Source organism: Homo sapiens, chromosome 9 (genome assembly GCF_000001405.40).
Source record: "Homo sapiens chromosome 9, GRCh38.p14 Primary Assembly".
Taxonomy (NCBI): domain Eukaryota; kingdom Metazoa; phylum Chordata; class Mammalia; order Primates; family Hominidae; genus Homo; species Homo sapiens.
Window position 1 is genome coordinate 35,667,294 of NC_000009.12, and position 24,462 is coordinate 35,691,755.

General features: G+C 52.6%; 2 protein-coding genes and 1 pseudogene across 9 annotated transcripts, besides 2 other annotated features; 2 read left to right on the forward strand and 1 right to left on the reverse strand.

Moving 5' to 3' along the window:
* On the forward strand, window positions 4,483-4,751 carry RN7SL22P (RNA, 7SL, cytoplasmic 22, pseudogene; annotated as a pseudogene).
* Window positions 6,635-13,866, forward strand: CA9 (carbonic anhydrase 9). Of its 3 annotated transcripts, NM_001216.3 has the most exons (11): window positions 6,635-7,069; window positions 8,245-8,274; window positions 8,468-8,638; window positions 8,771-8,913; window positions 9,004-9,096; window positions 10,497-10,563; window positions 11,892-12,049; window positions 12,561-12,705; window positions 12,820-12,846; window positions 13,460-13,541; window positions 13,672-13,866. In NM_001216.3, exons 1-11 carry the CDS (start codon window positions 6,667-6,669, stop codon window positions 13,730-13,732), a joined length of 1,380 nt encoding a protein of 459 aa, NP_001207.2. In that variant the 5' UTR covers window positions 6,635-6,666; the 3' UTR covers window positions 13,733-13,866. The 3 variants fall into 3 exon arrangements, with proteins under 3 accessions (NP_001207.2, XP_047279805.1, XP_047279806.1); XM_047423849.1 differs by lacking the exons at window positions 10,497-10,563; window positions 12,561-12,705; window positions 12,820-12,846; window positions 13,460-13,541; window positions 13,672-13,866 and having other exon boundaries at window positions 11,892-12,043; XM_047423850.1 differs by lacking the exons at window positions 11,892-12,049; window positions 12,561-12,705; window positions 12,820-12,846; window positions 13,460-13,541; window positions 13,672-13,866 and having other exon boundaries at window positions 10,384-10,563.
* On the reverse strand, window positions 14,700-22,763 carry TPM2 (tropomyosin 2). 6 transcript variants are annotated; one of them, NM_213674.1, is made up of 9 exons: window positions 22,411-22,763; window positions 21,853-21,978; window positions 18,354-18,487; window positions 18,141-18,258; window positions 17,976-18,046; window positions 17,771-17,846; window positions 17,195-17,257; window positions 16,953-17,022; window positions 14,700-14,870 (listed from the first exon to the last, which is right to left on the reverse strand). In NM_213674.1, exons 1-9 carry the CDS (start codon window positions 22,522-22,524, stop codon window positions 14,788-14,790), a joined length of 855 nt encoding a protein of 284 aa, NP_998839.1. In that variant the 5' UTR covers window positions 22,525-22,763; the 3' UTR covers window positions 14,700-14,787. The 6 variants fall into 6 exon arrangements, with proteins under 6 accessions (NP_998839.1, NP_001288155.1, NP_003280.2 ...); NM_001301226.2 differs by lacking the exon at window positions 17,771-17,846 and adding an exon at window positions 17,439-17,514 and having other exon boundaries at window positions 14,715-14,870; window positions 22,411-22,632; NM_003289.4 differs by lacking the exons at window positions 14,700-14,870; window positions 17,771-17,846 and adding exons at window positions 15,639-15,948; window positions 17,439-17,514 and having other exon boundaries at window positions 22,411-22,632.
* Window positions 20,597-21,074: an enhancer, noted in NCBI's record as "ENSG00000198467_9:35677887-35678364 (NCBI36/hg18 genome assembly) insert fragment". NCBI's record gives its function as "drives selective reporter gene expression in differentiated C2C12 myotubes {active_cell/tissue: C2C12}" and the evidence as "EXISTENCE:reporter gene assay evidence [ECO:0000049][PMID:22144875]".
* Window positions 23,970-24,049: a silencer, noted in NCBI's record as "silent region_19873". NCBI's record gives its function as "represses an Ori minimal core promoter by ATAC-STARR-seq in GM12878 lymphoblastoid cells {active_cell/tissue: GM12878}" and the evidence as "EXISTENCE:reporter gene assay evidence [ECO:0000049][PMID:35858748]".

Consider the following 24,462-nt stretch of genomic DNA (forward strand, 5'->3'; position numbering starts at 1 on the left):
GAGCGGAACTCTGTCTCAAAAAAAAAAAAAAATTAAATGCCAATCATGTGCCAGGTCCTGTGCTAGGCATGAAGATGAAATGGTGGGCAAGAGACATATGACCCCTGCCCACAGGGAGCTTACACTCCAGCATGGCAGATACAGTAAGGAGTCACCATAAAATGAGGAAACATTACAAGAGACATGTAGTCTTCTACACAAGCATGCAGTGAAGGGACTGATCCTAGTGTAGGAGTCAGGGAAGGCTTCTTCTCAAAGAAGTGATATGTGAACTGATGACCTGAAGGATGAATAAAACCTGGCTAGGCAGAGCTGGGCGCTGGCAGCAAGGGAAGTGGAAAAAAGAGTCAAACAGCATGGACAAAGGCTTGGACACACACATATGCAAGCATACGATGAATTTAAGGAACTGCTAGAAGTTCTGTAAGATGAGAGCATAGACTGCAAGGGAGAGAGTGATGACAAAGGAGACTGGAGAGGTAGACAGAGGCCAAACTTAGAAGGAATTTATATCAGTAAAATTGTGATATAAGTAATAATAAATTCAAAGTGGCTAAACATTAAGATAATTTATTGGCTCATGCAACTGAAAAGTCCAGAAGCAGGTGGGCCCTAGTGTTGGCCTAATCCAGCAGCTCAATCATGTTACCAAGGACCTCTTTCCACCACTCCACTGTGCCTTCCATGGTTTTACCTTCATCTTAAGGCTGGCTTCCATTGTGGGTACAAGATGGCTGCCCACAGTTACAATGGCTGTGTGCTTCTTTATGTGTTGTCCGCAGAGTTGGTTCCCTTAGCCATCAAATACTTCAGACAGAGAGCTTCACTGATTGGACCTCCCTAGGTCACAAGCCCACCATGGAAACCAGGGCAATGGCGGCCCTCTGAAGGCCACGTCAGGTACTGTGAACCTTATCCTAAGGGCAATGGGAAACCATTGAAAGGCCTTAAACAGGGAGTGAGATCATCAGATGTGCCATTTTAGAAACATCACTCTGGTTGGCTGGACTCAGCAAGACCCATCAGGAGGCAGTTGCAGTCATCCAGGTAAGAGGTGACGAAAGTATGAGCCAAGATGAAAAATGTAGATGAAAAATTTAGAAGGTAGAATCCATAGGGCATGGTTATTGAATGCTAGGGTGAAGGAAAAGATGAAAGTAGAGATGGTACCAGGTTTCTGGCTTCTAGGTGGAGGGTGGTGCTATTCACTGAAGGAGGATGAAAAGGAGATTTGCGGGGAAGACAAATTCAACCTGGGGCCTGTTAAACTTGAAATACTTGTGGGACATCCAAGTGGAGATGTCTTGGGTCTTGTCTATTAGGCAGATGGTTATGGGTCTGGCATGGGGAGAGAGTCCAGCCTGGGAATACTTGGGTGTCATCAATTTATAGGAGCCATGGGAGTGGATGACACGGCCTTGCAAAGATAAGTAGCAGGATAAGGGCAAAAGCATGAGAGTCTTCAATACGAACTCATCCCTTCTCATCCTGTGCGTCCACGTCAGTTCCCCTGCACTGATGGTGGACTAAATGGTGGCCCCATATAAAGACATGTCCATGTCCTAATCCCCAAGACCTGTATATGTGACCTTGTTGGGAAAAAGGGTCTTTGCAGACATAATTAGTTAAGGATCTTGAGATGAGATCATTCTGGATTATGTTGGTAGGCCCTAAATCCAATGACAAGTGTCTCAGTGAGAGACACCCAGTGGAGACACAGGGGCAAGAGAAGGCCATGTGAAGTTGGAGTAATGCAGCTACAAGTCAAGGAATGCCTGGAGCCGCCAGAAGCTAGAAGAGGCAAGGAAGGATTCTTCCCCAGAGCCTTCAGAGAGAGTCCAGTCCTGTCAAAACCTTGATTTCAGACTCTGGCCTCCAGAACTGTGAAAAAATCCATTTCTGTTGTTTTAAGCTACCCACTTGGTGGTAATTTGTTACAGCAGCCCTTGGAAATGAATATAGATGGGGAGGTAGCCAGAACTACAAGTCAGCCTCAAGGTTCTACAAGGAATTTGATCAGTCTTTGCCCCCAAGCTATGGCTTGGGAGAGGGAGCATTTTCCCTTCTACCCCACCAGTGAATAGTTTCCTCCTCTGCCATGCTGGGATAGGCAGAGACATGTTTTAGTAACATGACCCCTCAGTGTTTGAAAACACAAACCCTCATGAGCAAACACTTGGCCTATAATAACCACAGAGAGGTCCTGATCCAGGTGTGGGGTGCCCTGGTCAGTCAGTCCTGAGTATACTCTGTCCCAACCCGGGGAGACTCAGGAAACAATAACTCAAACCTGTTTGAGGGTTTGGCAGACTCCCAGCATGATCCAGGGTCAGAGTCCACATTCTCCACTCAGACCAGAGACGAGAGAGACAGAGAAACAGAGCCATAGGGAATCGCATTTGAAAAATGAGTGAGCTGTAACAGAGAGCTGGATTAGTCGTTACCACATTCTGTCTTGTATAGGCCCATCCAATTCAGATATTACCATGTACTTCCATATGTCAGGGGCCAAGCAAGTTCCAAGCTAATGACAGAGCTGACCAAGACAATCAGCTGGCCATCCAGAGTGTACCCTGGACCACACTGCCATGGAGAGCTCTGAATTTGGCTCCAGAAATGGCACCCTAGAATCTTAGGCTGACTACATCTGAGGTTGACCATTTGGAGGACAGCTGTTATTCAGTCATATATATTTTGTTGTACAATATGACAGTCATCCGACAACACAGATGATTTGGAGTGCCACAAAAATGTGGTGTTGGGCCAGGCATGGTGGCTCACGCCTATAATCCCAACTCTTTTGGAGGCTGAGGTTGGAGGATCACTTGAGGTCAGAGGATCACTTGAGGTCAAGAGTTCAAGACCAACCTGGGCAATATAGCGAAACCCCATCTCTACAAAACAAATAAAAAAATTAGCCAGGGGTGGTGGCTTGTGCCTGTGGTCCTAGCTACTCAGGAGGCTGAGGCAGGGGGATCACTTGAGCCTAGGAGATCAAGCCTGCAGTGAGCTATGACGCCACTGTACTCCAGTCTGGGTGACAGAGTAAGACCTTGTCTCAAAAATAATAATAATGTAAAAAGTTATGTCATGTTTATGGGATAGTTGTGGACATGCACAGGTCATTGACAATGAGCTCCTTGAGGGCAGAGAATATATCTTAGTCAATTTGGTATTTCTCAAGCATCTGGCAAGGTAATCTGCAAAAAGAAAATGCTCAATAATGGCTGTTGAATAAAAGACTGACTCAATCAAGTACGGACCCTGCCCTTATGGAGCTGAAGGCCGTTAGAGCAGATAAAATGAGTTATCACCCTTATATGAGTTAGACGGTGGACAAAGTTATTATTGAGGGCAGGCAAAGAACTGGGTTGGCTCAAAGATGCCAGGGATCTTTTCCAGACTAGTGGTAGAGGGTTGGTTAAGGAGTTTCCTGAAGGAGGTGGCCTTTCATCTGAGTTTCAAAGAACAGAAGAGATTAGACAGGGAGGACAGTAAAATTTTTTTTTTTTTTTGAAACAGTCTCGCTTTGTCGCCCAGGCTGGAGTGCAGTGGCGCGATCTTGGCTTACTACAAGCTTTGCCTCCTGGGTTCACGCCATTCTCCTGCCTCAGCCTCCTGAGTAGCTGGGACTACAGGCGGCCGCCACCACGCCCGGCTAATTTTTTTTTTTTTTTTTTTTCAGTAGAGACGGGGTTTCACTATGTTAGCGACGATTTTTGTCTGTTTGTTTGTTTTTGAGACAGAGTCTCACTCTGTCGATCAGGCTGGAGTGCAGTGGCGCGATCTCGGCTCACTGCAACCTCTGCCTCCCAGGTTCAAGTGATTCTCCTGCCTCAGCCTCCTGAGTAGCTGAGATTACAGGTGCCTGCCACCATGCCCAGCTAATTTTTGTATTTTTAGTAGAGACGGGGTTTCACCATGTTGGCCAGGCTGGTCTCGAACTCCTGACCTCAGGTGATCTGCACACCTCGGCCTCCCAAAGTGCTGGTATTAGAGGCATGAGCCACTGCACCTGGCCAGTAAAACTATTTGTGACACAGCAGCAAGTGCACAAGCACTGACCTATCAGAGTTGAAGGTGGCTGAGGCACTCAAGTGGGCTCCTGGGGACTCTGTTATGCCAGGGAATACCTCTTTAGATAAGGGATCAGGAGGTCTGGAGGGTCCCTAAGGAAGAGCTAGGGTAGCAGGGGTACCCTGGAGCTAGGGGCCATGGCTATATGCCAACAGGATTAGAAATATCTTAATGTATTTAATTAACCTACACAACCATATTGGTGGGTGCCTACTGAATATTAGCCCTAGATATGGACCTGAAATGGCCTTATTCTCTTTTAGTTTGTTTAAGCCAATGGAGCCTTACTAGAATGTGAGCTACAAAACAGTAGAGCTATTCTCTATTCAATGCTGCATCTGTAGGGCCTAGAACAGCACCTGAAGGACTGGCGGAGGCTTAATAAATTGTTAAAAGGGCAGACTAGCCAGGTGTGATGGCGTGTGCCTGTAGTCCCAGCTACTTGGGAGGCTGAGGCAGGAGGATCACTTGATCCCAGGATTTCTGGGCTGTAGTGTAGTATACCAGTCAGGTGTCTGCACTAAGTTCTGCATCAACCTGGTTGCCTAAGGATGGTTGAACTGACCCAGGTGGAAATTGGAGCAGGTCAAAACTCAATGCTGATCAGTAACAGGGTCGCACCTGTAAATAGCCACCGCCCTCCAGCCTGGGCAACACAGTGAGATCCCATCTCTAAAATAAATTTTAAAAATAATTAATTAGAAAAAAAAACCAGCCTGTAATCCCAGCACTTTGGGAGGCCAAGGCGGGCAGATCACCTGAGGTCAGGAGTTCAAGACAAGCCTGGCCAACATGGCAAAACCCCAATCTCTACCAAAAATACAAAAATTAGCTGGGCGTGGTGGCAGGTGCCTGTAGTCCCAGCTACCCAGGAGGCTGAGGCAAGAGAATCGCTTGAACCTGGGAGGTGGAGATTGCAGTGGGCCGAGATCGCGCCACTTCACTCCAGCCTGGGTAGCAGAGTGCGACTCTGTCTCAAAAAAAAAAAAAAAGAAAGAAAAGAAAAGAAAAAGAAAAGAAAAGAAAAAAACTGGGAGGCCTAAGCCCATTCTTGGTGTCCTCACACTCTTCTGCCCCATCTCCTTGCACCCAGTCTTCCCCTGCAATCTGTGCTCCATACTAGCCCTCAAGCCCTCAACGTGACCTAGTATGAGAACTGGATTCTGTCACTCTCCTGCTCATAATATTTTATGCCTTCCCTTTGCCCAGAATATCATTCTCCCTATTGTTTTTACCAATGGAACTGGTATTTCTTCAAGGACATGATCAAATTTGCCTACTTCTATATTATCTTCTAAAGCAGAATTCATCTCTCTTCCCTCAATATGATGATATTGACAGGGTTTGCCCTCACTCACTAGATTGTGAGCTGCTCAGGGCAGGTAGCGTTTTTTGTTTTTGTTTTTGTTTTTCTTTTTTGAGACAGGGTCTTGCTCTGTCACCCAGGCCAGAGTGCAATGGTACAGTCTCAGCTCACTGCAGCCTCAACCGCCTCGGCTCAAACCATCATCCCATTTCAGCCTCCTGAGTAGCTGGGACTACAGGCACATGCCATTACACCTGGCTAATTTTTTTGTATTTCTAGTAGAGACAGGGTTTGGCCATGTTGCCCGGGCTGGTCTCGAACTCCTGGACTCAAGCAATCCACCCACCTCAGCCTCCCAAAATGAGGGACCGTGTCTTATTCATTTCCATGTCCCTAGTCCATAGCCCAGTGCTGGACCTATGGTAGTACTAAATAAATATTTGTTGAATGCAATAGTAAATAGCATTTCAGGGAGCAAGAACTAGATTAACAAAGGTGGTAAAAGGTTTGGAGAAAAAAATAATAGTTTAATTTGGCTAGAGTATGAGGGAGAGTAGTAGGAGACAAGATGGAAAGGTCTCTTGGGCAAGGTTTTGAAGGAAGTTGGAAGTCAGAAGTACACAATGTGCATATCGTGGCAGGCAGTGGGGAGCCAATGAAGGCTTTTGAGCAGGAGAGTAATGTGTTGAAAAATAAATATAGGTTAAACCTATCAGAGCCCCTCTGACACATACACTTGCTTTTCATTCAAGCTCAAGTTTGTCTCCCACATACCCATTACTTAACTCACCCTCGGGCTCCCCTAGCAGCCTGCCCTACCTCTTTACCTGCTTCCTGGTGGAGTCAGGGATGTATACATGAGCTGCTTTCCCTCTCAGCCAGAGGACATGGGGGCCCCAGCTCCCCTGCCTTTCCCCTTCTGTGCCTGGAGCTGGGAAGCAGGCCAGGGTTAGCTGAGGCTGGCTGGCAAGCAGCTGGGTGGTGCCAGGGAGAGCCTGCATAGTGCCAGGTGGTGCCTTGGGTTCCAAGCTGAGTCCATGGCCCCGATAACCTTCTGCCTGTGCACACACCTGCCCCTCACTCCACCCCCATCCTAGCTTTGGTATGGGGGAGAGGGCACAGGGCCAGACAAACCTGTGAGACTTTGGCTCCATCTCTGCAAAAGGGCGCTCTGTGAGTCAGCCTGCTCCCCTCCAGGCTTGCTCCTCCCCCACCCAGCTCTCGTTTCCAATGCACGTACAGCCCGTACACACCGTGTGCTGGGACACCCCACAGTCAGCCGCATGGCTCCCCTGTGCCCCAGCCCCTGGCTCCCTCTGTTGATCCCGGCCCCTGCTCCAGGCCTCACTGTGCAACTGCTGCTGTCACTGCTGCTTCTGGTGCCTGTCCATCCCCAGAGGTTGCCCCGGATGCAGGAGGATTCCCCCTTGGGAGGAGGCTCTTCTGGGGAAGATGACCCACTGGGCGAGGAGGATCTGCCCAGTGAAGAGGATTCACCCAGAGAGGAGGATCCACCCGGAGAGGAGGATCTACCTGGAGAGGAGGATCTACCTGGAGAGGAGGATCTACCTGAAGTTAAGCCTAAATCAGAAGAAGAGGGCTCCCTGAAGTTAGAGGATCTACCTACTGTTGAGGCTCCTGGAGATCCTCAAGAACCCCAGAATAATGCCCACAGGGACAAAGAAGGTAAGTGGTCATCAATCTCCAAATCCAGGTTCCAGGAGGTTCATGACTCCCCTCCCATACCCCAGCCTAGGCTCTGTTCACTCAGGGAAGGAGGGGAGACTGTACTCCCCACAGAAGCCCTTCCAGAGGTCCCATACCAATATCCCCATCCCCACTCTCGGAGGTAGAAAGGGACAGATGTGGAGAGAAAATAAAAAGGGTGCAAAAGGAGAGAGGTGAGCTGGATGAGATGGGAGAGAAGGGGGAGGCTGGAGAAGAGAAAGGGATGAGAACTGCAGATGAGAGAAAAAATGTGCAGACAGAGGAAAAAAATAGGTGGAGAAGGAGAGTCAGAGAGTTTGAGGGGAAGAGAAAAGGAAAGCTTGGGAGGTGAAGTGGGTACCAGAGACAAGCAAGAAGAGCTGGTAGAAGTCATCTCATCTTAGGCTACAATGAGGAAATTGAGACCTAGGAAGAAGGGACACAGCAGGTAGAGAAACGTGGCTTCTTGACTCCCAAGCCAGGAATTTGGGGAAAGGGGTTGGAGACCATACAAGGCAGAGGGATGAGTGGGGAGAAGAAAGAAGGGAGAAAGGAAAGATGGTGTACTCACTCATTTGGGACTCAGGACTGAAGTGCCCACTCACTTTTTTTTTTTTTTTTTTTGAGACAAACTTTCACTTTTGTTGCCCAGGCTGGAGTGCAATGGCGCGATCTCGGCTCACTGCAACCTCCACCTCCCGGGTTCAAGTGATTCTCCTGCCTCAGCCTCTAGCCAAGTAGCTGCGATTACAGGCATGCGCCACCACGCCCGGCTAATTTTTGTATTTTTAGTAGAGACGGGGTTTCGCCATGTTGGTCAGGCTGGTCTCGAACTCCTGATCTCAGGTGATCCAACCACCCTGGCCTCCCAAAGTGCTGGGATTATAGGCGTGAGCCACAGCGCCTGGCCTGAAGCAGCCACTCACTTTTACAGACCCTAAGACAATGATTGCAAGCTGGTAGGATTGCTGTTTGGCCCACCCAGCTGCGGTGTTGAGTTTGGGTGCGGTCTCCTGTGCTTTGCACCTGGCCCGCTTAAGGCATTTGTTACCCGTAATGCTCCTGTAAGGCATCTGCGTTTGTGACATCGTTTTGGTCGCCAGGAAGGGATTGGGGCTCTAAGCTTGAGCGGTTCATCCTTTTCATTTATACAGGGGATGACCAGAGTCATTGGCGCTATGGAGGTGAGACACCCACCCGCTGCACAGACCCAATCTGGGAACCCAGCTCTGTGGATCTCCCCTACAGCCGTCCCTGAACACTGGTCCCGGGCGTCCCACCCGCCGCCCACCGTCCCACCCCCTCACCTTTTCTACCCGGGTTCCCTAAGTTCCTGACCTAGGCGTCAGACTTCCTCACTATACTCTCCCACCCCAGGCGACCCGCCCTGGCCCCGGGTGTCCCCAGCCTGCGCGGGCCGCTTCCAGTCCCCGGTGGATATCCGCCCCCAGCTCGCCGCCTTCTGCCCGGCCCTGCGCCCCCTGGAACTCCTGGGCTTCCAGCTCCCGCCGCTCCCAGAACTGCGCCTGCGCAACAATGGCCACAGTGGTGAGGGGGTCTCCCCGCCGAGACTTGGGGATGGGGCGGGGCGCAGGGAAGGGAACCGTCGCGGCAGTGCCTGCCCGGGGGTTGGGCTGGCCCTACCGGGCGGGGCCGGCTCACTTGCCTCTCCCTACGCAGTGCAACTGACCCTGCCTCCTGGGCTAGAGATGGCTCTGGGTCCCGGGCGGGAGTACCGGGCTCTGCAGCTGCATCTGCACTGGGGGGCTGCAGGTCGTCCGGGCTCGGAGCACACTGTGGAAGGCCACCGTTTCCCTGCCGAGGTGAGCGCGGAGCTGGCCGAGAAGGGGCAAAGGAGCGGGGCGGAGCGGGGCCAGAGACGTGGCCCTCTCCTACCCTCGTGTCCTTTTCAGATCCACGTGGTTCACCTCAGCACCGCCTTTGCCAGAGTTGACGAGGCCTTGGGGCGCCCGGGAGGCCTGGCCGTGTTGGCCGCCTTTCTGGAGGTACCAGATCCTGGACACCCCCTACTCCCCGCTTTCCCATCCCATGCTCCTCCCGGACTCTATCGTGGAGCCAGAGACCCCATCCCAGCAAGCTCACTCAGGCCCCTGGCTGACAAACTCATTCACGCACTGTTTGTTCATTTAACACCCACTGTGAACCAGGCACCAGCCCCCAACAAGGATTCTGAAGCTGTAGGTCCTTGCCTCTAAGGAGCCCACAGCCAGTGGGGGAGGCTGACATGACAGACACATAGGAAGGACATAGTAAAGATGGTGGTCACAGAGGAGGTGACACTTAAAGCCTTCACTGGTAGAAAAGAAAAGGAGGTGTTCATTGCAGAGGAAACAGAATGTGCAAAGACTCAGAATATGGCCTATTTAGGGAATGGCTACATACACCATGATTAGAGGAGGCCAGTAAAGGGAAGGGATGGTGAGATGCCTGCTAGGTTCACTCACTCACTTTTATTTATTTATTTATTTTTTTGACAGTCTCTCTGTCGCCCAGGCTGGAGTGCAGTGGTGTGATCTTGGGTCACTGCAACTTCCGCCTCCCGGGTTCAAGGGATTCTCCTGCCTCAGCTTCCTGAGTAGCTGGGGTTACAGGTGTGTGCCACCATGCCCAGCTAATTTTTTTTTGTATTTTTAGTAGACAGGGTTTCACCATGTTGGTCAGGCTGGTCTCAAACTCCTGGCCTCAAGTGATCCGCCTGACTCAGCCTACCAAAGTGCTGATTACAAGTGTGAGCCACCGTGCCCAGCCACACTCACTGATTCTTTAATGCCAGCCACACAGCACAAAGTTCAGAGAAATGCCTCCATCATAGCATGTCAATATGTTCATACTCTTAGGTTCATAATGTTCTTAACATTAGGTTCATAAGCAAAATAAGAAAAAAGAATAATAAATAAAAGAAGTGGCATGTCAGGACCTCACCTGAAAAGCCAAACACAGAATCATGAAGGTGAATGCAGAGGTGACACCAACACAAAGGTGTATATATGGTTTCCTGTGGGGAGTATGTACGGAGGCAGCAGTGAGTGAGACTGCAAACGTCAGAAGGGCACGGGTCACTGAGAGCCTAGTATCCTAAGTAAAGTGGGCTCTCTCCCTCTCTCTCCAGCTTGTCATTGAAAACCAGTCCACCAAGCTTGTTGGTTCGCACAGCAAGAGTACATAGAGTTTGAAATAATACATAGGATTTTAAGAGGGAGACACTGTCTCTAAAAAAAAAAACAACAGCAACAACAAAAAGCAACAACCATTACAATTTTATGTTCCCTCAGCATTCTCAGAGCTGAGGAATGGGAGAGGTCTATGGGAACCCCCCTTCATGTTCCGGCCTTCAGCCATGGCCCTGGATACATGCACTCATCTGTCTTACAATGTCATCCCCCAGGAGGGCCCGGAAGAAAACAGTGCCTATGAGCAGTTGCTGTCTCGCTTGGAAGAAATCGCTGAGGAAGGTCAGTTTGTTGGTCTGGCCACTAATCTCTGTGGCCTAGTTCATAAAGAATCACCCTTTGGAGCTTCAGGTCTGAGGCTGGAGATGGGCTCCCTCCAGTGCAGGAGGGATTGAAGCATGAGCCAGCGCTCATCTTGATAATAACCATGAAGCTGACAGACACAGTTACCCGCAAACGGCTGCCTACAGATTGAAAACCAAGCAAAAACCGCCGGGCACGGTGGCTCACGCCTGTAATCCCAGCACTTTGGGAGGCCAAGGCAGGTGGATCACGAGGTCAAGAGATCAAGACCATCCTGGCCAACATGGTGAAACCCCATCTCTACTAAAAATACGAAAAAATAGCCAGGCGTGGTGGCGGGTGCCTGTAATCCCAGCTACTCGGGAGGCTGAGGCAGGAGAATGGCATGAACCCGGGAGGCAGAAGTTGCAGTGAGCCGAGATCGTGCCACTGCACTCCAGCCTGGGCAACAGAGCGAGACTCTTGTCTCAAAAAAAAAAAAAAAAAAGAAAACCAAGCAAAAACCAAAATGAGACAAAAAAAACAAGACCAAAAAATGGTGTTTGGAATTGTCAAGGTCAAGTCTGGAGAGCTAAACTTTTTCTGAGAACTGTTTATCTTTAATAAGCATCAAATATTTTAACTTTGTAAATACTTTTGTTGGAAATCGTTCTCTTCTTAGTCACTCTTGGGTCATTTTAAATCTCACTTACTCTACTAGACCTTTTAGGTTTCTGCTAGACTAGGTAGAACTCTGCCTTTGCATTTCTTGTGTCTGTTTTGTATAGTTATCAATATTCATATTTATTTACAAGTTATTCAGATCATTTTTTCTTTTCTTTTCTTTTTTTTTTTTTTTACATCTTTAGTAGAGACAGGGTTTCACCATATTGGCCAGGCTGCTCTCAAACTCCTGACCTTGTGATCCACCAGCCTCGGCCTCCCAAAGTGCTGGGATTCATTTTTTCTTTTTAATTTGCTCTGGGCTTAAACTTGTGGCCCAGCACTTTATGATGGTACACAGAGTTAAGAGTGTAGACTCAGACGGTCTTTCTTCTTTCCTTCTCTTCCTTCCTCCCTTCCCTCCCACCTTCCCTTCTCTCCTTCCTTTCTTTCTTCCTCTCTTGCTTCCTCAGGCCTCTTCCAGTTGCTCCAAAGCCCTGTACTTTTTTTTGAGTTACGTCTTATGGGAAGGGCCTGCACTTAGCGAAGAAGTGGTCTCAGAGTTGAGTTACCTTGGCTTCTGGGAGGTGAAACTGTATCCCTATACCCTGAAGCTTTAAGGGGGTGCAATGTAGATGAGACCCCAACATAGATCCTCTTCACAGGCTCAGAGACTCAGGTCCCAGGACTGGACATATCTGCACTCCTGCCCTCTGACTTCAGCCGCTACTTCCAATATGAGGGGTCTCTGACTACACCGCCCTGTGCCCAGGGTGTCATCTGGACTGTGTTTAACCAGACAGTGATGCTGAGTGCTAAGCAGGTGGGCCTGGGGTGTGTGTGGACACAGTGGGTGCGGGGGAAAGAGGATGTAAGATGAGATGAGAAACAGGAGAAGAAAGAAATCAAGGCTGGGCTCTGTGGCTTACGCCTATAATCCCACCACGTTGGGAGGCTGAGGTGGGAGAATGGTTTGAGCCCAGGAGTTCAAGACAAGGCGGGGCAACATAGTGTGACCCCATCTCTACCAAAAAAACCCCAACAAAACCAAAAATAGCCGGGCATGGTGGTATGCGCCTAGTCCCAGCTACTCAAGGAGGCTGAGGTGGGAAGATCGCTTGATTCCAGGAGTTTGAGACTGCAGTGAGCTATGATCCCACCACTGCCTACCATCTTTAGGATACATTTATTTATTTATAAAAGAAATCAAGAGGCTGGATGGGGAATACAGGAGCTGGAGGGTGGAGCCCTGAGGTGCTGGTTGTGAGCTGGCCTGGGACCCTTGTTTCCTGTCATGCCATGAACCCACCCACACTGTCCACTGACCTCCCTAGCTCCACACCCTCTCTGACACCCTGTGGGGACCTGGTGACTCTCGGCTACAGCTGAACTTCCGAGCGACGCAGCCTTTGAATGGGCGAGTGATTGAGGCCTCCTTCCCTGCTGGAGTGGACAGCAGTCCTCGGGCTGCTGAGCCAGGTACAGCTTTGTCTGGTTTCCCCCCAGCCAGTAGTCCCTTATCCTCCCATGTGTGTGCCAGTGTCTGTCATTGGTGGTCACAGCCCGCCTCTCACATCTCCTTTTTCTCTCCAGTCCAGCTGAATTCCTGCCTGGCTGCTGGTGAGTCTGCCCCTCCTCTTGGTCCTGATGCCAGGAGACTCCTCAGCACCATTCAGCCCCAGGGCTGCTCAGGACCGCCTCTGCTCCCTCTCCTTTTCTGCAGAACAGACCCCAACCCCAATATTAGAGAGGCAGATCATGGTGGGGATTCCCCCATTGTCCCCAGAGGCTAATTGATTAGAATGAAGCTTGAGAAATCTCCCAGCATCCCTCTCGCAAAACAATCCCCCCCCTTTTTTTAAAGATAGGGTCTCACTCTGTTGCCCAGGCTGGGGTGTTGTGGCACGATCATAGCTCACTGCAGCCTCGAACTCCTAGGCTCAGGCAATCCTTTCACCTTAGCTTCTCAAAGCACTGGGACTGTAGGCATGAGCCACTGTGCCTGGCCCCAAACGGCCCTTTTACTTGGCTTTTAGGAAGCAAAAACGGTGCTTATCTTACCCCTTCTCGTGTATCCACCCTCATCCCTTGGCTGGCCTCTTCTGGAGACTGAGGCACTAGGGGCTGCCTGAGAACTCGGGGCAGGGGTGGTGGAGTGCACTGAGGCAGGTGTTGAGGAACTCTGCAGACCCCTCTTCCTTCCCAAAGCAGCCCTCTCTGCTCTCCATCGCAGGTGACATCCTAGCCCTGGTTTTTGGCCTCCTTTTTGCTGTCACCAGCGTCGCGTTCCTTGTGCAGATGAGAAGGCAGCACAGGTATTACACTGACCCTTTCTTCAGGCACAAGCTTCCCCCACCCTTGTGGAGTCACTTCATGCAAAGCGCATGCAAATGAGCTGCTCCTGGGCCAGTTTTCTGATTAGCCTTTCCTGTTGTGTACACACAGAAGGGGAACCAAAGGGGGTGTGAGCTACCGCCCAGCAGAGGTAGCCGAGACTGGAGCCTAGAGGCTGGATCTTGGAGAATGTGAGAAGCCAGCCAGAGGCATCTGAGGGGGAGCCGGTAACTGTCCTGTCCTGCTCATTATGCCACTTCCTTTTAACTGCCAAGAAATTTTTTAAAATAAATATTTATAATAAAATATGTGTTAGTCACCTTTGTTCCCCAAATCAGAAGGATGGTATTTGAATTTCCTATTACTGTTATTAGCACGAATTTAGTGGTAATGCATTTATTCTATTACAGTTCGGAGGTCAGCAGTCAGATGTCAGTAGGGCTTGTTCCTCCTTCCACACATCACTCCAATCTCTTGCTCCCATTGTCACAACTCCTACCTCCACATTTGACCTCCTTGTCTCCTCAAGAACCCTTGGGATTACACTGGGCCTAACTAGATAACCAAGGATAATCATCCCATCTCAAAATCTTAATCACCAAGTTTCTTCCCATGTAAGATAAGAACAATGCACAGGATTAGAACATGGACATCTTTGGAGAAGGGGAATTATTCTGCCTACCACAGATGCTATCAGGAAGAGGACAGAAATGACTGATACTGTTGGGATGGCTGTGTGTGTGTGTGTGTTTGTGTGTGTGTGCAGTGTATGTGTTGAGGGGTAGGGCAGACAGCAGCCCTAGGCTTAACATCACACTCAGGCTTTTGGGTTTTCACCCTGCTCAAGGAAAATGTGTCACTTCTTGCAGTTTTTGCTTCAGGACGTGCTGTCTGGCCCAGCTGGCTGCTGGAACAGGGCGGTGCTATGGATGGCAGCTCCTCTGCCTGTAGGGCACAAGGCCCACGATGTCCCCCAGTCCTGTCAGACTCCCTGCTTCACAGAGCCTGTTCACAGCCCCTCCTCAATGAGCCCAGGCCCTCCATCCCAGTTTCCCCTGAAAAGGAAGTCCCAATGCAGAGCAAGGACCCAGGCCCTGCTCATTCAGGGGTCCCTCAAACTCCATTGCCAACACCAAAGAAAGGATTAAAGGGCCTTGAGAGGCTAGTAACATCAGTTTTATTGGGTTGGGGTGGCAACCATAGCCTGGCTGGGGGTGGGGCTGGCCCTCACAGGTTGTTGAGTTCCAGCAGGGTCTGGTCCAAGGTCTGGTGAATCTCGACGTTCTCCTCCTTGGCACTGGCCAAGGTCTCTGTGAGGGGAAGCAGCAGGTGAGGGAGAAGGGAGACACAAGGGGGAGACGTGGGGAGGCAGGGCCAGGGGAAGGTGACATATAGACATGGAGTGGGTCAAGGAAGACACATGCATTCACGGACCTCAGGGCCCCTTGGCAGGGACAAACAGATGGACTGACTAGGATGAGGGGAACAGGACGGACGTGGATGCCTCACTCAAGGCCTTGGGGTCATAGAGGTGGGGTGGGGAGGGCTGAGTCATAAACTACTTTATCCTCTTCTTTAGAAGGTTTAAGGAAGTTGGAGACAGAAGGTAAGACAAAGACTGCGCCAGGAAAGGAAGGGCCAGACAGACAGACTTGAGGTAGAAAACAGACCTGCTGCTGCAGTGAAAGCCCCATGTTGCTGATATCCAACATTTTTCCAAGCTCCATTCCAGACCTTTTGCAACCTTCTTGCCCCTGTCCTGCACCTCACCACCCTACTTCCTTTCCAGTCACTCTGTTTGATCCTGGAACCCCAGCTAAGTGCTCTGAGGTCAGGGATTGGCACCAGAGGCGGTCATGGTTTGATGGGGCCACACGTGCCCACATGCAGTGGTGAATCAGAGAGCGACAGCCAGGGAGTGCCTGTGCAGAGGGGTTTCAGCGTGGGCCATGGTGTTTTGTGGGTGGGCTCAGTGCAGGGGCTGGGGGTGTCAGTAAGTGCCAGGGTGTCAGGAGTGAACCAGTGCTCCGTGGTGGCGATAGAGGTGCTCTCTGGAGGGCAGGAAAACAGCATGGAGACCAAGTTCAGAATTTATTAAGCAGCAAAGGAGGGTGGAAGGGGATAGGTAAAGGATGAAGCCAGTGCCAGAGTGGGTGGTGGGCATGATGGGGGCTCTCCCTAGGCTGCTCCCAGCCTGGCTGTGCAATGTTGGCAATTTCTGCTCCTCCTGCCTGCTCCCCTCCCCATAGAGAGAATGGAAAGGAGAGGAGAGAAGAGAGCTGAGGTGGCCACGCTGGCGTGGGGCTCAGAGGGAGGTGATGTCATTGAGTGCGTTGTCCAGTTCCTCGCTAATGGCCTTGTACTTCATCTTCTGGGCATAGACTTCATCTGGGGGGGGTCCAGGGAGGGGACCAGGTGGGAGTGTGGGAAAGGGAGTGGAGGGAAAGAGGAAAGGAAGGAGAGAGAGCAATGGAAAGAAAAACAGAATCAGAGGTACACAAAGACAGAGTGAGAGAGGGAGGCCAGGGAACAGGCTGGACAGCTGTCAGGAACTCCTTCTCCCCATCTCTACCCCATCTCTTTTCTGTCCTTCTCTGTACCCCAAATTGGCTCTACCCATGGCAGCTCCTGCCTCTCCAGGGAGCTGTGTGTACAATGCTCTCGACAAGCAGGAGTGCTTGCTTAGAGGGGAGAGGGAGGGTGCTGGAGCCAGAAAGGGCAAACCTCCTAAAGCTGGAGGTAAAATTGGAGCTTGCCTGAGAAGGCTGGAAGCGAGAGAAGTGGGAAAGTGAAAGGGTTATCACAGAATAAAAAGGAAAGGCAACTTTAGCCACATCATCATTAACAATAGAAATAGCCACAGACTCACAAATATCTGGATGTTTGCTTTTGTCAAATCTAGCTTAAAATAGTGTTTTCTATTAGTGCTGTCATGCAGACCTAGATGTTCAGTCCAACAGCTCTCTAGTTAATAAGCCAGTCTCTGCACTAGAACTCTACTGCGTTACACTCGGGGACGGAATTGTCTATAAGGGTGCCACTCAGAGTGTGGCATGAGGACCAGCAGCATTGGCAGTACCAGAGAACTAGCTAGAAATGTAAATCCTCCAGCCCAAAGTCAGCAATCTCTTTGGGGCAGAGTCAAGGAATCTGTTTTTAAAACTCTCCCAGTGATTCTCATGCATGCTGAAGTTTGAGAAGCACTGGAGTTGTTGCGCCGTGGGCAGCTACAATTACTTGAATTGTAGACATGGCCCACAGAGTTGGGGAGTTGGTAGGGTCCTAGGTGGCCCAACCCTAGTTTATTGGTGGCAAATAAAATGGGATGAGAAGGTACAGGACAGACTGATAATCACGGCAGGTGTGGACCTACTTATAAAGGCTTCTTTTACCTTCTAGGTCATCGATGGTTTTCTCCAACTTTGCCACAGACCTCTCGGCAAACTCTGCTCGGGTCTCAGCCTGGGGGTAAAGGCAGGATGGGAGAAATGGCAAAGAATTAGGCCCTCCCACAGACTACTGCCTAAGTCAAGCTTCTTGTCCATCCCAACCCTCAAGTGTCCTGCCACAGGCCGTCTCTGGCAAGGATTAGGGTGGCTTGAGGGGAGACTGGGAACTGGAAGAGGACTCTCACCTCCTTCAGCTTCTCCTCCAACAGTTTGATCTCCTCTTCATATTTATCTTCTTTGGTGGAATACTTTTGGGGACACACACACGCCATCAGTACAGCGCTACCACAGATCCTTCATTTCTCCATTGTACCCCGTAGGCTCCTGGTCATCTTGCCTCCGTTGAACACCCAGCCCCTCCCTGCCTTGGGCCCCTCACCTCCCTCCCCTGTGGGACCCCATCCTCACTGCCCCTCTGCTCCCCTCTACCTTGTCCGCCTGGGCCTCCAGGGATTTCAAGTTGTTGGTAACAATTTTCAGCTCCTCCTCTAGGTCCCCACATTTACTGCAGGGGGTGTGTGGCGGGGGGGGCAGGGTGTGAGGGCACAGCGAAGCCAGACAGTGGAGATGGCACAGCAGGGGACGGGTGGAGGAGAGAAGAGAAGAGCAAAGTTGTGAGAGTGACAGCAGGCAGGGCTCAGAAGCCCCAGGCCCTTCCTGATCCCCAGCAGCTGAGAAAGAGCAGCCTGCGGTGCTGAGACGGAGGGAAGGTGAGCTGAGAGAAGGCGCCATTGCCCAGAAAGGTTCAGAGGGGTCACTACCTCCTCCTCTGAGGCCATCAGGGACTTGAGGGCCTGGTCCATGGTTCGAAGTTCCTCCTCCAGCTGTCTGGCTCGGCTGGGGGCAGCGGGCAGGGGTCAGAGAACAGGGCCTGTCCCTACAGCCCCAAGCCTAGGATGCTACCTTCCCACTGTGTGGAAGGCCCCAGGGCCAATGGGCTCACTTGTCACCCCCGGGTATCTTTACCTCTCGGCCACCTCAGCCCTCTCCTCCGAGCGCTCCAGCTCTCCTTCCAGGATCACCAGCTTCCTGGCCACCTGTGGGGAGTGAGAAAGAGAGGGTAGATCAGTGGAGAAGGACTGGGCATGTTGCAGGCTGGGCAGCGAGCAGGCAGAGGGGCAAGGCTGTCACCTCTTCATATTTGCGGTCTGAATCCTCAGCGATGTGCTTGGCCTCCTTCAGCTGCATCTCCTGCAGTTCCATCTTCTCCTCATCCTTCATGGCCCGGTTTTCGATGACCTTCATTCCTCTGAAAGGCAGGGAGAGGGTGAGCGTAGGGTCAGGACCAGCAGAGACAGGCTCCCTTCTCCCTCCCGGACCATCCTCCCCGAGGCCCCTGACCACCTCTCGCTCTCATCAGCCGCCTTCTCGGCCTCCTCCAGCTTCTGCAGGGCTGTAGCCAGGCGCTCCTGGGCCCGGTCCAGCTCCTCCTCAACCAGCTGAATGCGGCGGTTCAGGGAGGCCACATCTGCCTCAGCCTGTGGGTCAGAGGTCAGGGGTCAAAAAGGCCTTGTTAGCCTTGGATAAGGATCAGAGAGGCTCCAGAGGATGGCGAGATTCTTCTCAGAAAGAACTGAGGCTTCCTGGTTTCTAGACATTCTATGTGATTTTTCCCCAACCAATCATCTTCTGCCCAGACTGTGCTCCAGTAAAAAATGTGCATTCAGGCCGGGCATGGTGGCTCACGCCTGTAATCCCCGCACTCTGGGAGGCCGAGGCGGGTGGATCACCTGAGGTGAGGAGTTTGAGAGCAGCCTGGCCAACATGGTGAAACTCTGTCTCTATTAAAAATAAAAAATTAGCCAGGCATGGTGGCGCATGCCTGTAATCCCAGCTACTTGGGAGGCTGAGGCACAAGAATCACTTGAACCCAGGAGGCGGAGGTTGCAGTGAGCTGAGGTCGTGCCACTGCACTCCAGCCTGGGTAAAAAGAACGAAACTCCATCTCAAAAAAACAAAAAAATACATGCATTCCTTGCTTGACAAGCTCCGCTCCCCTGCTGCAGGGCCTCTCCTGCACTGTGCACAGTTAGTCTCCCAAAGGTCACCTGCACACAAGTCCTCCTGTTCCCTGTGGGAGCACTTCAAGTGCTGGGGCCAGGTCTGATGCAGCTCTGATTCCTACACAGCAAAGCCTGGCCCAGGTAAGGGGATGGGAGGAGAATCAGGCCAACCAGACATCACTGCTGCTAAGAATAGCCCGTCACAGAATCAAGCTCAGTGATACTGGGCATGGTGGTGCATGCCTGTCATCCCAGCTACTCCGAAGGCTAAGGCGGGAGTTCAGCTTGACCCCAGGAGCCCTGCCTGGGAAACATAGCAAGATCCCATCTCAAAAAAAAAAAAAAAAAAAAGTATCAAGTTCAGTGATGTCATCTGTCATCAGCTGTAAGGCAGACTCCCAGCAAGAAGCCCAAGAGGCAGGCCTATAAGGAATACCCATGGCTGTAGCAAGGGGCTCCCTGCCAAGGCCAGCAGAGAGCTGGGGGCAATGCAGGGGCAGTGTGAGGGATGTCTACTCAGCCCCTGGGCTTGCAGTAGGAGGCAAAACCATGGAGGTTTTGGAAAAAATCCATAAAAACTGGTCAAACACTGAGAAAAAGGGCAGAGCAAGGCGAGCGCCAGTAAAGGAAAATGAGAGGAGCAGGGCAGCCACGTGTTAAGAGCATCGGCTCTGAGTCAGATTGTCTTTGAGCCACGGCTCAGCCACTCAACACCTGTGTAACTGTGGGCAACTTATTTAGCCTCTCTAAGCTTCAGTTTCCTCCTTCACAAGTTGGAGTTAACAATAACAGTTCCTCCTTCTTAAGGCTGTTCTGAGATAATCCACTGCTTTTAATACTCAGTTAATCAACAGGACCTTCGGTGAGACTCATAAAACTAAACAGGTTCTCTTACTCCATGCTAGATCCACTGAATTGGGATGTGTAGGGCGGGGGCTTGGGAATCTTCTCTTTTTTTTTTAAAGCCCCCGAGTGATTCTGATGATAAGCCAAGTTTGGGAAATTGTAAAATAACATGCAGAAAGCACTGAGTACATTGCCTGCACAGGGTCCACATTCCATAAATATTAGGTTATCCCCTTTCTCTGTCAAAAACAAGGACACAGAGACCCTGAGATTTCAGAGTGGAAAGGAGAGAGGACCTGTGTAGGGAAAGGAGGTGGGGGGAGGGGCTGGGGGCAGCACTTGGACACAGCATAGGAAGCAGGTCCTTGGTCGGACTGTAGGGCAGGAGAAACAGCACCATATATAGAGAGTAGATGGTAGCTTGTCTTCCAGGTGCTGAAGGCACCTGGAGCTTGGCCACCTAGAGTGACAAGAGCCCATCATGGGCACAGGGCCGGATGACAGTGTGGAAGCATTCTGGGGACAGCATTGGGGGTTGGGAAGAATCACTGTGGGGGACATTGGAGTACTACCCTAGAGAGAGGTGAGACTGTAAAAGAAAAACTCTGCATGATGGTGGGGTGACAAAAGACTCTGGAAAGTTTGGGAAGTCCTGGGGTCCTCATCATGGGACTGATATGTGCCATTTCCTGCCTCTCAAGCTCTTCCCAGTTACGGGGGCGGCTCTCTAACCACAGGACAGGCACTACTGTCCCCATTAGAAAAATGGGAAGCAAGAGAGAGGGAGAAACTGAGGCACCATGTAAGTTGAGTGCTGTGTTCAAGGTCACCAGGAAGCTTGGGCAGTCTTTCCTATCTGCTCCTGGTGCTGCGGCTCTGCCTCCCCAGCTCTGTCCCTGTCCCCCCTGCCCCTCCAGCCCCCACCAGCAACTTGGGTTTCCAATCTTGCCTCCAGCTGCACTGGGCCTTGGTTATTTATAGAGTGTCAGATGCCCAGGGTTGTCTGTGCTAGCAGCTGCAGGTCAGCTCCCTCCCAAGTGCCAGGACTGGTGGAGAACCAAAACTGGAGGCTGGAGGTCACAGAAGCCCAACCCCTGGGGGGCTGGGAACATGAGCAGTCGACACAAACAGCTATGTCATCTCTGATGTTCAGACCATGCTTTATGCTAATCTAACCATAGGTTCATCTTAAAACAATCCTGGGTGGAAGGAAGATGGGGAAACTGAGGCAGAGAATGGGGAAACTACCACCACACCAAAGCCATATGGCCATTCTCCTACCTTAAGCTGGGGGTTGGGAATGGCAGGAAGTGAAGTCTGGTTGGGGTTGTGGGGTGGGCAGAGAAATCTCAGGGTAAATGACCTGCCAAGGTAGCTGCTTTGGCATTTGTGGCCCTGTCCCTCTGCCCTGTGGCCTGGCATGGTCTCCAGGCTGACAGCTTAATGAGGGTAAATGAGGAGCCATTAGAACCTGAGCTGGGGCCCCAGGGCACAGCAGGGCTGCTGAAGCCAGAGGTCAAGGCCAGGGAATTTCTAATGGCCCCTTAGGGTTGTAACTCAAGTGGGGTCTCATCTCTGGATCCCTCTCCCTCCTCCTGCAGGCTAGTACCTCACATCCACATCCCCCCATCCCCAAACGGCTGCAGTCTCCTCTCCAATTTCAGCTGGAGGATTAATTGAGGTAGATGGTAAATTCTTATACCTTCCACCCCCACAATGACTCATTGCTTGATCACTGTACATTCTAAAAGCTGGAACCAAACAGAATTACAGGGCTAAGTCCTCTGGGGGAAGTGGTAGGTGGTTTTGATTTATCCACTGTCTTGGATTACTTGTGTAAGTTTACCCTAGCCCTGGTTACTGAGATGAAACCATTTCTCTCCTGGCGCTGGGGACATAAGGGGATAAGGTGCCCCAATCCTCTTATTCCCATACCCGGGGGGCCCCTTCCCAGAGCCCTAACTCCTCCCATTGTCCCCCAAGTCCACACTCACATCAGTGGCCTTCTTCTCGGCCTGCTCCAGTTTCTCCTGGGCCTCCTTCACGGATTCAGAATACTTTTCCACCTCATCCTCTGTCCCCTTCAGCTTCTTCTGGAGGGCCTGCTGCTCCTCCTCCAGCTGGGACAGAGGGGACTTGGTCAGCCAGGCTGGGAGGGGGCCCAGGCCCAGAATGGAGACGCGGTGTGTGTAGGGGCGCTACTAAGATTTGGAGGCTACTGGGATGGAAGCGGAATAACATAAAAGGGACAGTACAGTCAAGGGTACTGGTGGGACCCGTTGAGGGTACAGAGAAAACTTCAGGCCCCAAGGAGCAGGACCAACCGCGCTCTGCAAAGGCAGAGTGGAAACCAGGGGCCTGGGGCTTCCCCAGGCTATTGTAGGGGAGAGAAGCGGCTCTGGCGAAGGCCCTGAGGGTACTGCGAAGGCCCAGCCCCCACCCTGGGTGAGAGAGAGCCTTGGCGGGCAGGCCCGGGGCTGGGGGACCCATGGCAGCGGCCCACCCTTGCCCTAGGCGCGGGGAGAGCAGGCTGCACTGGGCCCGGCCCTAACCTGCTTGCAGCGGTCCTCAGCTTGCTTCTTGTCGGCTTCGGCCTGCTCGGCGCGGTCGATGGCGTTCTCCTTGTCCAGCTTCAGCATCTGCATCTTCTTCTTGATGGCGTCCATGGCTGCGGTGGGGGGTGGGCCGGCCGGCAGGCGGTGAGGACCGGACGGACTGGGCTGGGTGAGCGGACTGGGTGCACCGGTGGCAGGCGAGGAGGACGGAGCGGGACTGGGACGTCCCGGCCACGCGGGCGCCTAAAAGGCGGGGAGGGACCGGGCGGGGCCGGCAACCAGGACCCTCCCCCACCTCGGCCCAAACCTTGTAGGGGCAGAAGCACGGCCCGGCCGGGGGGTGCGGCCGCCCCCTTCGCCCACCCACTGGGGACCGCCTCCCTTGGGGTCCCGCCCCCATCCCCCTCTTCCCTGCCAGCCGTCGGAGGAAAAAGTGGCCGACGGTCGGCTGGAAAAACCCCGGCGATGCGAAGGGGAGGGGACCCTTGGGCTGGGGGCTCCGTGCTTCCTCTGAGTGACAGCCGGACCCAGTGGCAGCTGCGGCTGGGGCCCCTGGGGCTATTTCGGGGCGTGAGCTCACGGCAGCTGCCCGGGCGCAGGGACCGGCGTGCCCCCCCTCAGCTGCAGCAGCCGCTACCCTTAATTTAGAAGTTTCCTGCAAATCCCCCCGGATTAAATGTCTCTCGGGAGGCGGAGCTCCTCGGCAGTTTGAGTGCCTCAGTTTACCCTGAGTCCCTCTAGGTTTGCGTTATCGACGTGGTGGTAGTAGCGGAGTCTCATCGGGAGCTTGGGGAAACTGAAGCAGGAAGCGAGCCCAGAGCCCCGGTCGCGGTGGGGAGTGTGGCCGGGCTTGCTGCCCCCAGGACCGGCCTGACCTCTCATCCCCTCGCCTCCCCTCCCAGCCCCTGCCCCTGGAGCCAGGCCCTTCCTGCGAGCACCCGGCGGCTCAGGACCCAGCTCCCCGCCCCGCCCCCCACGTGCCCCGCATATTTTCCACGCGGCTGCGGCCAGGCTGGTCACCGCGCGTTCCCCGCCCCCGCTCCCACCCGGACGCGTCCCGAGCCCCTCCGCTCCCCGCCCCTGGCTCCGCCTGGCCCCACTCCCCTCCGCGCGCCTTCCCTCTTCTCCCCCGCTCCCCGCGGACGCTCCTCTCTTTCCCAGTGGGCCAACTTTATGCTGAAATTTCTTTTCTGCCCTTTTTTGGGATGTTTCCCCATTGGGAGGCGGAGCCGGGCTGCGGCGGGGAAGGCGGAGGGCGAGGGGAAGAGTCACTGAGCTGCGGGGCATAGGGGGTCCGGGGCGAGGTGCCTTCTCCCACCCAGGCCGCCAAACCAGCGCCGGAGCCGGGTCGTGGGGTCTGGGAGTCGGAGGCGCGAGGCGCGAGGGTGTTTGTTTTCGTTTTTCCCTGGGGTGGGGTGGGGGGAAAGGAAGTGGAGAGCCGCCGGGAGGAGGGGGAAGGGGAGGAGAGAACAAGCGGAGGAAGCCGGGAGGGAGCTGCTAGCCTCGCCCCCACCCTCCAGTCATAGAGGGGCGGGAGGCCTGGATTTTGCAGTGGGCTGGGGACCGTGGGAACCCGAGGCCGCTGGCCGGGGCGGTGGGGAGGTGGCGTGGAAATGCATTCAGATCTGTTTAGCTGCCTGCTAGCCACACGGAGAGCAACCCTGGCCTGACCTCGCAGTGTTCCTCTAACTCCGTGGAAGACGCCTCATCCACCAGTAGCCTATGCTAGACCACTGGGTATCCCCTGCCCTTCGCGTCTCACAACCACCTAATCCTGGAGAGGCTGCCTTCTACCAAGGAGGTTCCTCCTCGGGTCGGTCTGGGCTGGCCTCTGGCCGCGCCTTATGTTTTCTTCAGTCTGTTTTGTAGTCTTACTTCTAGTTCCTCAACTCATTCATTCATTTGACTGTCCCATGACATTGTTGTCAAATATCTTTTTAAAAGTTAATGCGAATATTATCTAAAATTCTCCAAAACCCCTCCCTAATCCCTGTCCCCCCACCTTTTTTGAGACGGGAGCTTGCTAGATTGCCCAGGCTGGTCTTGAAC

Coding starts and splice junctions, on each gene's coding strand:
- CA9 (NM_001216.3), top strand. CDS start 6,667: ATGGCTCCCCTGTGCCCCAGCCCCTGGCTCCCTCTGTTGATCCCGGCC. Junction 7,070..8,244: donor TGCCCACAGGGACAAAGAAG/GTAAGTGGTCAT, acceptor TCATTTATACAG/GGGATGACCAGAGTCATTGG. Junction 13,542..13,671: donor CAGATGAGAAGGCAGCACAG/GTATTACACTGA, acceptor GTGTACACACAG/AAGGGGAACCAAAGGGGGTG.
- TPM2 (XM_017015088.3), bottom strand. CDS start 22,524: ATGGACGCCATCAAGAAGAAGATGCAGATGCTGAAGCTGGACAAGGAG. Junction 18,488..21,852: donor CCGAGAAGAAGGCCACTGAT/GTGAGTGTGGAC, acceptor TCTGACCCACAG/GCTGAGGCAGATGTGGCCTC. Junction 18,047..18,140: donor CAGACCGCAAATATGAAGAG/GTGACAGCCTTG, acceptor CACTCCCCACAG/GTGGCCAGGAAGCTGGTGAT.